At 38.7% G+C, this 13,307-nt stretch overlaps 1 annotated feature.

Annotated features, from left to right (window-relative positions):
* Positions 634-1,152: an enhancer, noted in NCBI's record as "NANOG hESC enhancer chr7:17702244-17702762 (GRCh37/hg19 assembly coordinates)". NCBI's record gives its function as "activates a minimal SCP1, AML or CMV promoter by ChIP-STARR-seq in naive H9 embryonic stem cells {active_cell/tissue: H9 hESC(naive)}" and the evidence as "EXISTENCE:reporter gene assay evidence [ECO:0000049][PMID:30033119]".

Raw genomic sequence — 13,307 nt, 5'->3', positions numbered from 1 at the left:
TGGTGTGTCAGAGAAGAGTAGGTGCTTTGTTTGTTTTAATCTTGTTTCGCTTCTTTTATTCTCAGTGTAGGTTCATTTCATGATTCTTTCTTTTTCATTATTCCTTTATTTTTCTCCATATTACTAGTTATCATCTGACTTACTGTACATTCACCTGGTTGTTAGTCTATTGGCTGTCACCCCCAGCAAAATAAAAGTTTCATAATGGCAAGGACCATGTGTTTTATTCTCTCCACACCCAGTGCCTTACACAGTGACTGGCAGATGGTGACAATTTAATAGTTGACAATCACTAACATTTACTAAATATTTACTATGTGCCTGACAATGTTCTGAAGCACTTGACATTTATATTACTTGATCCTCACCATAGCTCTTTGGAGATGTCATATTCTTATCTCCATTTTACAAATGCAAAAGTGAAGCTTAGAAAAATTAAGCAAATTTCCCAAAAGTCACACGATTGGAATGCGGGAGAGGCATGATTCAAACCTAAGCCAAGTGGTTCCTGCATTTGCAGCTAACTGCCAAGTTGTGAGATTGCTCCATGGGAACAGGAACCTGGGCTGTCTTGTTTCCTTCTGTGCCCCCAACCCGCAAACACACACAAAGCTCCCAATAAATATTTTTGGAATAGTTGAAAGTTCAGCCTGAAGGGTAATGTTCCTGGTAGAAGGGGTAGTGGCCATGAAGGACAAAGAAAAGGCCAAGGCAAGTTCTTGGGACTGAGCAGCCGGGTGGGACCTGTTCTCAAGGATAATGTGGAGGCTGCTCTCTCCATCATGCCTGTGCTTCCCCCTTCGCCTTTTTTCCACCCTTCCCTCACCTACATGTGCACTGCTGGGGGCAGGGGCTGCTCTGGATTCAAAGAGGACAGCTCTGGGAGAAGCCTCCAGGGCAGATCTGCCCATACATCCAAGCAACAAATCCCTTTGATGTGCAGCTGAGTCAGTGGTGTTGGCGGAGCCATCCCCTGCTCAGCCGTCAGTGTCCTGGATCTCATCACAGGCCCCCACAAGTTGTTTAGTCCAAGAAACGTGTGGACTCCATTGACTCATGTTACATTAATTTGATGTCTTTTATAAATAGCTGTCTCTGGGGACAAGCCTTTGACGTCCCCTTCTCTTGTCAAACTAAAAATGCTCTGTGATGTGTGTGTGTGTGTGTGTGTGTGTGTGTGTGTGTGTGTGTCTGTGCGTGTGTTCAATGACTGTGGCTGGGCCCAGACAGCATTTGGATCAGCTTTTAAAAATTAAGTATAAGACATTCAATGTATTTTGTTCTCTCTTGTCATACAGCTAGAAAATTGTAAGAGAGTTCAAGGGCAGCTTTGGAAAAGAATACTTCAGTGTGTGTGTGTAGGTGTATGTGGGTGTGTGTGCACACACAGGCTTGTGCACCTGGGTAGGAGGGAAAGGGCAGGCAGGAGATGGAGGTGCATTACAAGGCCAAGTTTCAAGTGTAAAAACGCAAAAATGTTGCTTCATCTGGGACTGTTAAGCTTTGCAGCCCATTAACACAGACAGTGGGGGATCGTTGCACTTTGCATGCTTGGAGGTAACATACACAACTCCTACTTGGACACAAAGGCTGCCTTGGGAATGAGGTTGCTAACCACAGTTGAGGGAAAGCCTTTCAACTAAGAAGGAAATAAAAAAGGCCTTTATTTGTGGGCACCTGACAAGCTGAATCCTGCTTCTCTTACTAGGGAATTTGTTTTAGGATCAAAGTATGATATAAGCCCATAAAAACTGAACAAAGAAATAGAATTGCTGCTTACTAATCAAGTTCTGATAAATATAAAGGATGCCTCAGGTCTATTTCATACTTCCATAGAACAAAGGAGGTATGTAATAGTATAAAACTCATTTGGCAGCCAAATATTTCTTATCATGTATTCTTATATGAGAGTTTGGAAGCTTTTACTTTGTTTAATATGTTGAATAAGGAAATGCCATTCATGCTTTTAGTTTATATCAGCGTTTTTGTTTTTTAAGTTAATTTTCCTATTTTTGCTTCTAAAGTTTTGGTGTCTTGATAGAAGGTCCTTGCGAAGATGGTCACAGCAGGCATGATTTGCCTTTGCTTGGTGATCACTGTAACCCCTGTCTTGGCACTATAAAATCTCATCAGCACTTTGAAAATCTTGAAAACTGTGACTTTAAATAAAGAGTAATGATAACAAATAATGTATTAAGTCCATGTTAAGTATTTTTACATGCTAAAAGTGGGTTATAATCATCTTTGTATGGGAAAAAACTCCTTCTAGATTATTACTGAGAGCGGGGTAGTTAATTTAGTTATCTTCTAATACAGAAGAAAAAAGGCAAAGTTCTCTCTCCTCTTGGAGACTACATTATTTTTGGAGGAAAGACTATTAACAATAGCATAATAAATAAGTAAAATATATATCAAATTAGAAGATGATACATGCCGTGGATAAAGAAAAGTAGAATGGGGAAAGAGAAGATATAGGCAATTTATAATATGATGGTCAGGTTAGAACTCATTGAGAAGATAACAGGGTGATTAAACAATTGAAACAGGCAAGGGAGTTAGATGTATGGATATCCGGGGAAAGAGGATTTCAGAGAAAGGGGAAAGCCAATGCAAAAGCCAATGTGTGAACACACCCGGCACATGTGAGGAACAGTAAAGAAACCTGTGGGGTGGGGGTGCAAGCAAGTGAGTAGTGAGATTTGAAGTCACAGCAAAGGGGAGTCTTAGGATCTTTTAGGTCTTGTAAGGATTTTTACCTTTACTCTGAAAAGGAGGGACTCATTGCAGGGTTTTGAGCTGAAAGATGACTTTATCAGACTTGTTTAAAAGCATAAGTCTCTGTACTCTGGAAAGGTAATAGTAGAAGTAAGGAAACATTAGAAGGCTATTGCTATAATTTTCACGCATTAGTTATCTAGCGCTGTGTAACAAGTTACCCCCAAACTTTTCAACACATGTTCAGACAACGAACATTTATTATCTCACGGTTTGTGAGTCAAGAATTTGGGCAAGGTTTAATTGGGTGATCTGGTGCAGCGTCTCTTGTAAGTGGCAATCAAGGTGTCAGCCAAGGCTGTAGTTGTCTCAAGGCTTAATTAGGGCAATATTCACTTTTATGCTTACTCGTGTGGAAGCCAGTTCCTCGTGGGTTGTTAGACTGAGGGCTTTGGTTTTTTTTCTAGATATTAATTGGAGACCACCCTCACTTTCTGGCCAAATGTACCTCTTAGGGACATTGTAAGGCAACTTACAACATGGAAGCTTATTTCAGGAGAGCAAGCAAGTGAGCAAGCAGTAAGAGCCAGGGAAAGAGAAAGCATGCATAAGATGGGGGCCACAGTCTTTCAAAGCCCACTCAGAAGTGATATCCCCTTAGCTTTGCCATATTCTACTTGTTAGAAACAAATCATTAAGTTCAGCACACACTCAAGGGGAAGGAATTGCACAAGGATGTGAATACCAGGAGATGGGAGTCATTGCAAGCCACTTTAAAAGCTGTCTAATATGCTTTGCAAGAGATGATGCTAGAGTAGTAGCAGTGGAGTTGGTGAGAAGTGATGCCAAAATACATGAAAAATCTTAGAATTGTAATCCACGATCTACCCTTCTTTAGGTGACTTCAGGTACCTTGTATAATACTTCTGAGTTTCATATTTCTACTTAGTATTATTTTTGAGATAGAATTTCACTCTTCTTGTCCAGGCTAGAGTGCAATGGCATGATCTGAGCTCACTGCAACCCCTGCCTCCTGAGTTCAAGTGATTCTCCTACCTCAGCCTCCCAAGTAGCTGGGATTACAGGCACGTGCCACCACGCCCGGCTAATTTTTGTAGTTTTAGTGGTTGGCCAGGCTGGTCTTGAACTCCTGACCTGACGTGGTCCACTCACTTTGGCCTCCCAAAGTGCTGAGATTACAGGCGCATATCTCTACTTTAATTGAAAGTCTATTCACGCACTACTCTACAAGTAGCTTAAACTTAGTTTGAGTAACTAGCCAAAGTCTACATAGCTAGTCAGTGATAGTGATAAGGTTAAGTAGTACTTAAACCCTGGCAGTCTGACTCTACTGCCTGTTACTCTTAATCTCAGAGGACACCAGAAAAGATACAAATGTCTGTAACTGTTGTAAAAAATGCAAAGTTCTATATAGTACAAGTAAATCATGCTCCCTACTATGGACACAAGAAGGTAAACGCTTAGTTTTAAAGAATGTTCATTCCAAAAGATGATACTGGTGTCAATTTTCCTGTGTGGAGAAATTGAGCAATGTCGGGCAAAAGATGGAGCCCTTCCATCTTTCCATGTGGTGGAAGCAGAAACTAATTCCTGCTGCAGCCTGCTTTTATGCAGCATGGCAGCACTCAGATGCTACTTGGAATAAAGCCACATGGGTTTTGACCTAGAGTTCAATAACTTGGGCTGGAGAAGAAAGGTTGGTTTGGGAACAGATGGAGAATTTGACTTACATGGGGCTGGTTCTGATTTTAACCAAGAAGACATGTGGCTATGACAGGGGCAGAGTGGCCTCACAGGACCCTGCAGTGGAATGAGGTCTGGATCTGAGTGAAGTCCACTAGGGCCTAGGGAGTTCAGGGTGGAACCTTAGCGCTTGGGCCAGGCCGAATAGCAGCAATGTGAGTAGAAGCAGGCATCACATTAATAGAACAGAATGAGGCAAAAGCCTTGGTGATACTTGGCTAATATTGGCAGTTACAGCCATTCTAATATTAATACAGAAATTGCAGCTGTCTCATGCATAGCTGTGCATGGTAGCTCTGTTACCCTCCTTTTATTTTATACCATCTGTATTATTATATTTTAGAGGAGTTTCTTGGTACCATATAGTTGAATTGTGCTTTTTTGTTTTTGTTTTTGTTTTTAAGACGGAGTTTCGCTTTTGTTGCCCAGGCTGGAGTGCAATGGCGCGATCTTAGCTCATCCACAACCTCCGCCTTCTGAGTTCAAGCAATTCTCCTGTCTCAGCCTCCTGAGTAGCTGGGATTACAGGCATGTGCCACCACACTCGGCTAATTTTGTAATTTTAGTAGAGATGGGGTTTCTCCATGTTGGTCAGGCTGGTCTCGAACTCCCGACCTCAGGTGATCCACCTGCCTTGGCCTCCCACAGTGCTGGGATTATAGGCGTGAACCACCACGTCCAGCTGAATTTCACTTTTTTATCTGGGCTGACAATCTCTGCCTTTTAATTGGAGTGCTTAGATTATTTATATTTAATGTAAATGGTGGCATGATTGGTTTTAAACATAGTATTATGGTATTTGATTTTTATTTGCACCATTTGCTCATTTTCCTTTCTCTCTGCCTTCTTTTGGATTAACTGAGCACTTTTCAGGATTTAGTTTTATCTTCACTGCTGGCTTATTAGCTATACCTCTTTGTTTTATATTTTTGGAAATTATTCTAGGCCTTAAAATATGCATACTTACAACTCACCACAGTCAACTTTCAAATAATATCATACAGCTTCATATATAATGTATAAATCTTTAACAATGTACTTTCATTTTCCTCTTCCATCCTTGATGCTATTGTCATACATTTAATCTCTGCGTATATTAAAGATTCTACATATACTTACTGTTTATGTTTAGTCAATTATCTTTAAATAAATTAAAAAGTGAGAAAAAAGAGTTTTAATTACCAATATATTTACTATTTCTGTCACTCTTTATTCCTTTGTGTGGATTAAAATTTCCATGTGGTACAATTTTCCTTCTGCCTGAAGAACATCCTTTAATGTTTCTTACAATGCAGGTTAGGTGTTGAATTTTCTTAGTTTTCATGTTTCTCTAAAAAACCTTCATTTTGCCTTCATTTCTAAAAAATATTTTCACTAGGTATAGAATTATAGATTGGTATTTATTCTGTTTTATTATAAAGACCATACATCATAAACTTTACCATCTTAACCTTTTTAAAGTACACAATTCATTTTTAAGTGTACAGTGTAATAGTTTTAAGTATATTTACATTATTGTAAAACAGATTTCCAGAACCTTTTTATCTTGCAGAACTGAAGCTCTGTACTCATTAAACAACTTCCCTCTTTATGCTCCCTGTAGCCTCTGGTAACCACCATTTTATTTTTTATTTCTATGAATTTGATTACTTTATAAACTTCATATAAGTAGAATCATGCAGTGTTTGTCATTTTGTGGTTTACTTATTTCACTTAGCATAATATTCTCCAGGTTCATGCATGTTGCAATATGTGATAAAACTTCCTCCCTTTTAAAGGCTGCCTAGTATTTCATTTTATGTATATGTCACATTTTATTCATTTACTCATCTGTCAACAGACACTTGGGTTGCTTCTTCCTTTTGGTTATTGCATAGTGTTGTTATGAACATGTGTATGCAAATATCTCTTTGAGGCCCTGCTTTCAATTCTTGTGTAGATATACCCAGAAATGGGATTGCTGGACCATATGGTAGTTCTATTTTTAATTTTCTGAGGAACTGCCATACTGTTCCAAAGCTATTGCACCATTAAATAATCCTACCAGTAGTGCACAAAGGTTCCAACTTCTTCACTTTCCTGCCAACATTTGTTATTTTGTTTTCTTGTTTTTGTTTTCATAGTAGCCATCCTAATGGCTTTGAGATGATACCTCATTGCGGTTTTGATTAGCATTTCTCTGCTGATCAGTGATGGTGAATATTTTTCCATATGCTTGGTTTGCCATTTGTGTGTTATCTTCAGATAAATGTCTACTCAAGTCCTTTGCCCATTTTTAATTGGGTTATTGATTTTTTTTTTTGCTGTTGAGCTGTAATAATTCTTTCTATTTTAATTTTCTAAATATTTAATTTTGTTCTTTTTTCACTTTTGAAGGATGCAGGAGTTCTTTATGTATTCCGGATATTAACTCCTTATCAGATACCTGATTTGCAAATATTTTTCCTATTCCATAGGTTGCCTTTTCAATCTGTTGACTGTGTCTTTTGATGAACCAAAGATTTTAGGCTTGATGTATTCCCTTTGTCTATTTTTGCTTTCGTTGTCTGAGGACATTTATTTCTTCTTTCAGTACTTTAAGATGCTGTTCTTTTGTCCTCTGGCTTGCATAGTTTCTTTTTTTTAAATTTTTAATTTTTATGGGTTCATAGTAGGTATGCATATTTATGGGATACATGAGATGTTTTGATACAGGCATGCAATATGTAATGATCACATCATGGAAAATGGAGTATCCGTCCCCTCTAGCATTTATCCTTTGTGTTACAAACAATCCAGTCATATACTTTTAGTTATTTTTAAGTGTACAATTTAAATTATTATTGAGTATAGTCACCCTGTTGTGATATCAAATACTAGGTCTTACTCATTCTTACCGTTTTTTGTACCCATTAACCATCCCCTACCTTCCCCTCTTCCCCCAACTACCCTTCCCAGCCTCTGGTAACCATTCTTCTGAATTCAATTGTTTTTACTCTTAGATCCCACAAATAAGTGAAAACAGAGGTTGCATAGTTTCTGAAGTAAGAAAGATCTGTGGTATTTTTATCTTCGTTTCTCTGTATTTAATGTGTTTTCTTTCCTCAGGCTGTTTTTTAAAGATTTTCTCTTTTTACTGCCTTTAAGCAATGTGGTTATATTGTTCTGTAGTGTTTTGTGTGTGTGTTTTTTTTACGTTTTTGTATTTTTCTTGGTTGAGGTTTGCTGAGCCTCTTTGTGCATTTACAGTTTTCAATTATGGAATATTTTCAACCATTATTTCTTAAAAATTTGTTTCTATTCACTTCTTTCTCCTTTTGGAACTCCAGTTTTACTTGTGTTAAAGTTCTTAATGTTCTTTCACAGATCGCTGAGCTCTGTAAATTTTTTTTTAGTAATTTTTCTCTATGCTTCATTTTGCCTAATTTCTACTGCTGTCTTTGAATTCACGAATCTTTTCTCCTGAAGCTTCTAATCTGCTATTGATTCCATCTAGTGATATTTTCATCTCAGATATATTTTTCATCTATGTTTCTATTGACTAATTTTTTTTTTTGGTTTTGGTCCATATTTTTCTGCTTCTTCTTATATCTAGTTGTTTTCATTTGGAGCATGTGGCAGACAAGATTTATCTGTTTGAATCTTTTAAAAAGAGATTTTAAGGGCATAGCTGGAGTCGTCTTTATACTAGAGGTAATTTAAACTCACTTTTTAGGTTGGCCCTTCTGTGGTCTTCATTGGCTGCTACATGTATCCCATGAGGACTTTGTATTCTCACTGGTGGAAACTCAAACTATTCCTGGCCTTTTATGAGCTCTAAGAATTGTTTGGCTTATAACTCCTCAGTACATTTTCTTTCCTCAGAAGTCATTATTTGCCGTACCTTAGGGTGTTTCACACTCTACAAGTGCATATTGATAATCAGACATAGATTCTAGAGTTCTTCTATGCTGATTTCTAGAACTCTTTCTCTGTATCAGCTCCAGTTTTTTCGGGTATTCTGGCATGTAAATTAAAGCCACCTAAATCCTCCTGAATCTCATCTTTGTTTCCTCCACTCAGTGAGATTGCAGTTTGGGTTTCCCCTCCTTGCTCAGCAGTTCAGAAATTGCCTTTAGGCAAAGAACCTGGGCAGTCATAGCACTCTATTTCCTTTCTGTCTGGGATCACAGTTCTCTGTTGCCTGTTGTCCAATGTCTGAAAATAGTTATTTCCTGTATTTTGTTCTGCTTCTTAGTTGTTTACAGAGGAAGGATAACTTCAGATCTCATAGCCAGAAGTGGTTTTTTCCTTAACTGTGTTGAAAACTCTACTTATGTAGATTTATGCACACCGAGGATAGAGACCTAGGAATGGAAAGCACTTAATAAAGGATTTTTGAAAGAATTGAATTAATGAATGAAGCATGGAATTAGGCTGAGCCACATGAAGTTGACAGTTATTGATGATTTTAACACATATGATTTATATGGTTCAATTTTATACCTTGGCTACTTTGGATTAGCTAAGGAAAGCAGACTCAAGTAAAGGCAATTCTACCTTTAAAGTGAGATCTCAGGCAATGATGGATCCTTTGTTTTTTAAGTGATGTCTTATCCTGTGCATCTGGCAATCTTAGAACACTTCCGTTGAATTTATTTTTCTAACAGAACATGGTAGGTCTATCTATGTGGGCTTTGGGTTTTTAGGTCAAACTAGTTTCTTTGGAGAGGAAGACACTTTCTGTGATTGGGTTTACAGTCTATTCAAAGAGTATATCCCTGTTCCTCATAGGATCAATTGAGTTATGCCTCAAGACAAGGGGTTTATAAGAGGAGATTTCAACCTTATTGTCATCAGGGTGATGAAGCACAGTGACACAACCTTTGTGAACTGGGTTGGGGATCTTTTAGCAGGATGGTGGTGGAATTCTTTTTAAGGAAAACAGTGTTACTAAGGACATAGGCATATTATTGGTTGTTGAATTTGTGGTTGTGGTGGCTAGGAAAGACAGAGGATTTGATGACCTATGATACAGGGTGGATAAGGCTATATTATTGTCTCATTGTTAAATGCATGAAATGGAGAATGAAACTGGATAAATACCTCGGCAGAGGATGATTGAAGAAAAAGCCAAAGTTGCTGTATTCACAGATTATTACCAGGTGTGGTTTTAGTTTGACTCTTTCATATTATCGTACAGTAAACCACACATACATTTAGAAGAAAAGTGTTTTATAGGTGACCTGATTGTAATGAATTTCACTTAGCATCACAGGATACTAGTTTGTGAGAATTATAGTAGCTTCTTGCAAACTATTCATGAGCTGACACATGGCCCAGTGGGTTTGGCATCCTTGCTTCTCAGAGTGCAAATTGACCTTAATGTTGTCAGCAGTGTTCACCATATAAGAATGAATAGATGGTTGTTATGGCCTGAATTTGGTACCCCTGAAGTTTATATATGGAAATCCTAACCCCTAGTCCTTCAAAATGTGACCTTATTTCAAGGCAAAGTCTTTACAGAGGTAATCAAATTAAAATGGGGTCATTAGGACTGGCCCTAATCCGTCACGACTGGTGTCTGATCAACAGGGGGAAATTTGAACAAAGAGATATGCATAGAGGAAAGGCAATGTGAAGAGACACCAGGAGAAGATGACTGTCTCCAAGCCAGGGAGAGAGGACTGCAACAGATCCTTCTCTCACAGCCCTCAGAAGGAACTAACTCCGCCAATGCCTTATCTCTGACTTCTAGCCTCCACAGCGCTGTGATACAATGAATTTCTGTTGTCTAAGCCACCCATTTTGTGATACTTTGTTACAGCAGCCACAATAAAGTAATAAAAGGGTCTTTGCTGAACTACTGTCATAGACTGACTTGGTAGGAGAAACATGTTAGGAGCAGTGGGCCATCAGGAAACTCCTTGAAGCTGTGAGACTGTTAGATAGGGTGGGCAATCGGTTCTTGTCTTTATCCATTTTGTGGAAAGACACAAACACCACCCAGCTGAGCAGAATAGGGCAAGGCAGCTGACCTAGCCAAAGGCCTCCTAGGAGCTTTTACCCAGCGCTCATCTGAATGGGAGGGGTTTAGGAGAAGTTGAATTTCCTACGTGAGCTGTAAAGAGATGTTATGGCTTCCAAAGAGATTATTTGAGGTGCATAGATGGTTTGGAAGAAAAACTCGTAAACGCTAACTTTTGCCATTGGCATTTAAAGAAAGTTAATAATCTGCAACAGTTATTTTATACTCCACTGCTCTGAAAGATTATGGTTACATAATCAAAGTAAGATTACATACTCTGAAAGATTATGAGATATAAAGAATATGTATAAACCTTAGTATTTTAGTTCATGTTTAGGACTTCTGAAAGTCTGCCCTATTTCTCCCTCTGCCTCTCTGTCTCTTTGTCCCTGTGAATTATGTGGGTGACAGTGCACTTTTTTTTTTTTAGATGGAGTCTCGCTCTGTTGCCCGGCTGCAGTACAGTGGCGCGATCTCAGCTCACTGCAATGCAACCTCTGCCTCCTGGGTTCAAGCGATTCTCCTGCCTCAGCCTCCTGAGTAGCTGGGACTATAGGAGCCCACCACCACGTCCAGCTAATTTTTGTACTTTTAGTAGAGACGAAGTTTCACCATGTTGGCCAGGATGGTCTCGATATCCTGATCTCGTGATCGGCTCACCTCAGCCTCCCAAAGTGCTGGGATTACAGGCATGAGCTACTGTGTCTGGCCGACAGTGCACATGTTTTGATCCTTGACTCATCCTATTACCTATTTGCTGTTATGTTTATGTTGAAAAAATGTTGCTGCTGTTAATATGGCTGCTATCCTAATGTACAAAACAAAGGATGTCCAAGTGTTACCTCCCAAGCAAAGAGATCTTATTAATGGTGGAAGTGAAAAGCCCCAAGACACTCACTGAGTGAGTGAGGCTACAAGAGGGGCCCCAGGCCTGTAAACAATCTGTTATCATTGATGTCTTTCCAGTTTCTCCCACCAGTGTATAATTTAAAACTCAGTTGGCCTGTGCTTTTTGACTTGATTACAACAGTTCCCAGCCTGTGAGGCGTTAAGCCAAAGTGGTTTTCATTAATTTGCCTTCTCCCTGAAGATTTTAGGCTTGCTGTTTCAAAGAAAGCTAGATACCACAATGAGCCAACTATTTGGTGAGAAGTTTCTCCTCGGGGAGAGAGCTGTTTGCTGCAATTCCAGCCTTCCAAATGTCAAACGTTACTCATTCTAGCTTTGGCTCTTGTAAATATGTGTAGTCCTTTTTATTTTAATTTGAGAGTGTTTGCCTCCACTGGTAGCTCAGGGAATTTTTACTTGCCGTTTGAAATCTAACCCTGGAACACAAAAAGTATGACTAATCCTACTTACTGGAATTTCAGTGTTTTCATCAAGGCTGCCTTTTCCATTTCCAATTTTATATAATAAGGGCAAAATACCAACTGGCAAACATATTCCTTTTTTTTCTTGGTTGCTGTACATTAAACTATCTACTGTGTTATAATAAAAAGTGATGCTTCATAATAGTGATTTTTGCAATTGAGACAAAACAGTTTCCAAGGGTATTTAAAGAGTGGATAGTTCATGATATGAATCCCCAGCTAATATATTTACACAAAGAAGCCTAAAGGTTTCAGCTGCTTTTCATCTTCTGTATGGCAAAGATATTAGGTTATCTCTAGGCAAGAAGAATGGTTAATACACTAGAGTCACAGCCAATGGAAAGATTTTAGAACAATATACAAACACTCGTGCCATAACACTGACTTAGTTAAGCAATTATTGTGATGACCATTGGAAAGATGAGAGTATCAGCTAACGCAAACCAAGTTTTTGTCTTCTTTCATAGGAATCCTTTATCATTTCCTTATGTCTTAGAGCTCCAAATGTGGATTTCTGGAATGCTGTTGGGAAGATCTCATATGAGGAAGCTCTAGTGGAATTGGGTTGAGACTTACTGACCAGGCAGTTCTTTAAAGACAATATCTGAGTAGCTTAGAGGGAATATAGGTACTAATTTGGAATGACCTAAAAAGAGATTTCCAATCCTTTCTGCTTTAAGCAATCACCTGGAGATTTGAAAAATGTAGATCTCCAGTTCCCATTCCCAGAGTTTCCAGTTCAGTGGGTCAGTGTACCTATGTTTGCTTCCAGATTATTCTGGGTGCTGTCACAACTGGGAACCCCTGGCTCCAGTTGTCAGTTTGTAACTGTATCTACAAAGAAATTATTATGAATTATTGGATCTGCAGGGGCTGCGGAATTTGGCATGTAAAGGAAAACTTTTTGCTTTGTGGTTTAATCTGCAGATCACCCTAAATCTCTTGTTGTTAGTATGGCTTCTTTGACTCCTCATGGCCTGACACACTTGTGGGTCAATTACTAAGCACTCAGCTGGAACTACTATGACCTGGCCCCGGGTGGATATCAGAAACACCTGTGGAGCTACTTGAAACTAGATTATTTTTTTCCAGAATTCCTGAATCACAGTCTTAGGGAGGGGTCCAGATATCCATTCTTCTATAAGCTTCATCGTTGATTTTGAAAAGCAGCTAATTTTGAGAATCTCTGAGTTATACTAATGGGGAGGAATATTGATTGACTGGCATTGGATACTAATTGAAGCTATAGAGAAATCACGTTAATTTGATTAAGATGATTAAAACTATTCATTTCACTATTCTATGATTTAGGCTTTGTGTTTGATCAACAGATATTTGGTAATGGTCATATGACCATTACAAGAGGGGGCAGAACTCTTTACCACTTGAAGTATATAAAAGCTTTCAGATACAGCTTAAGGTGAATCTTTAAGGCAAATATTTCCTTAGAACCTGAATAGGGAGTGAAGTAG

Source organism: Homo sapiens, chromosome 7 (genome assembly GCF_000001405.40).
Source record: "Homo sapiens chromosome 7, GRCh38.p14 Primary Assembly".
In the NCBI taxonomy this organism is placed as follows: Eukaryota; Metazoa; Chordata; class Mammalia; order Primates; family Hominidae; genus Homo; species Homo sapiens.
The sequence above is the reverse complement of the archived record's forward strand: the minus strand, read 5'-3'. Positions and strand labels throughout refer to the sequence as shown.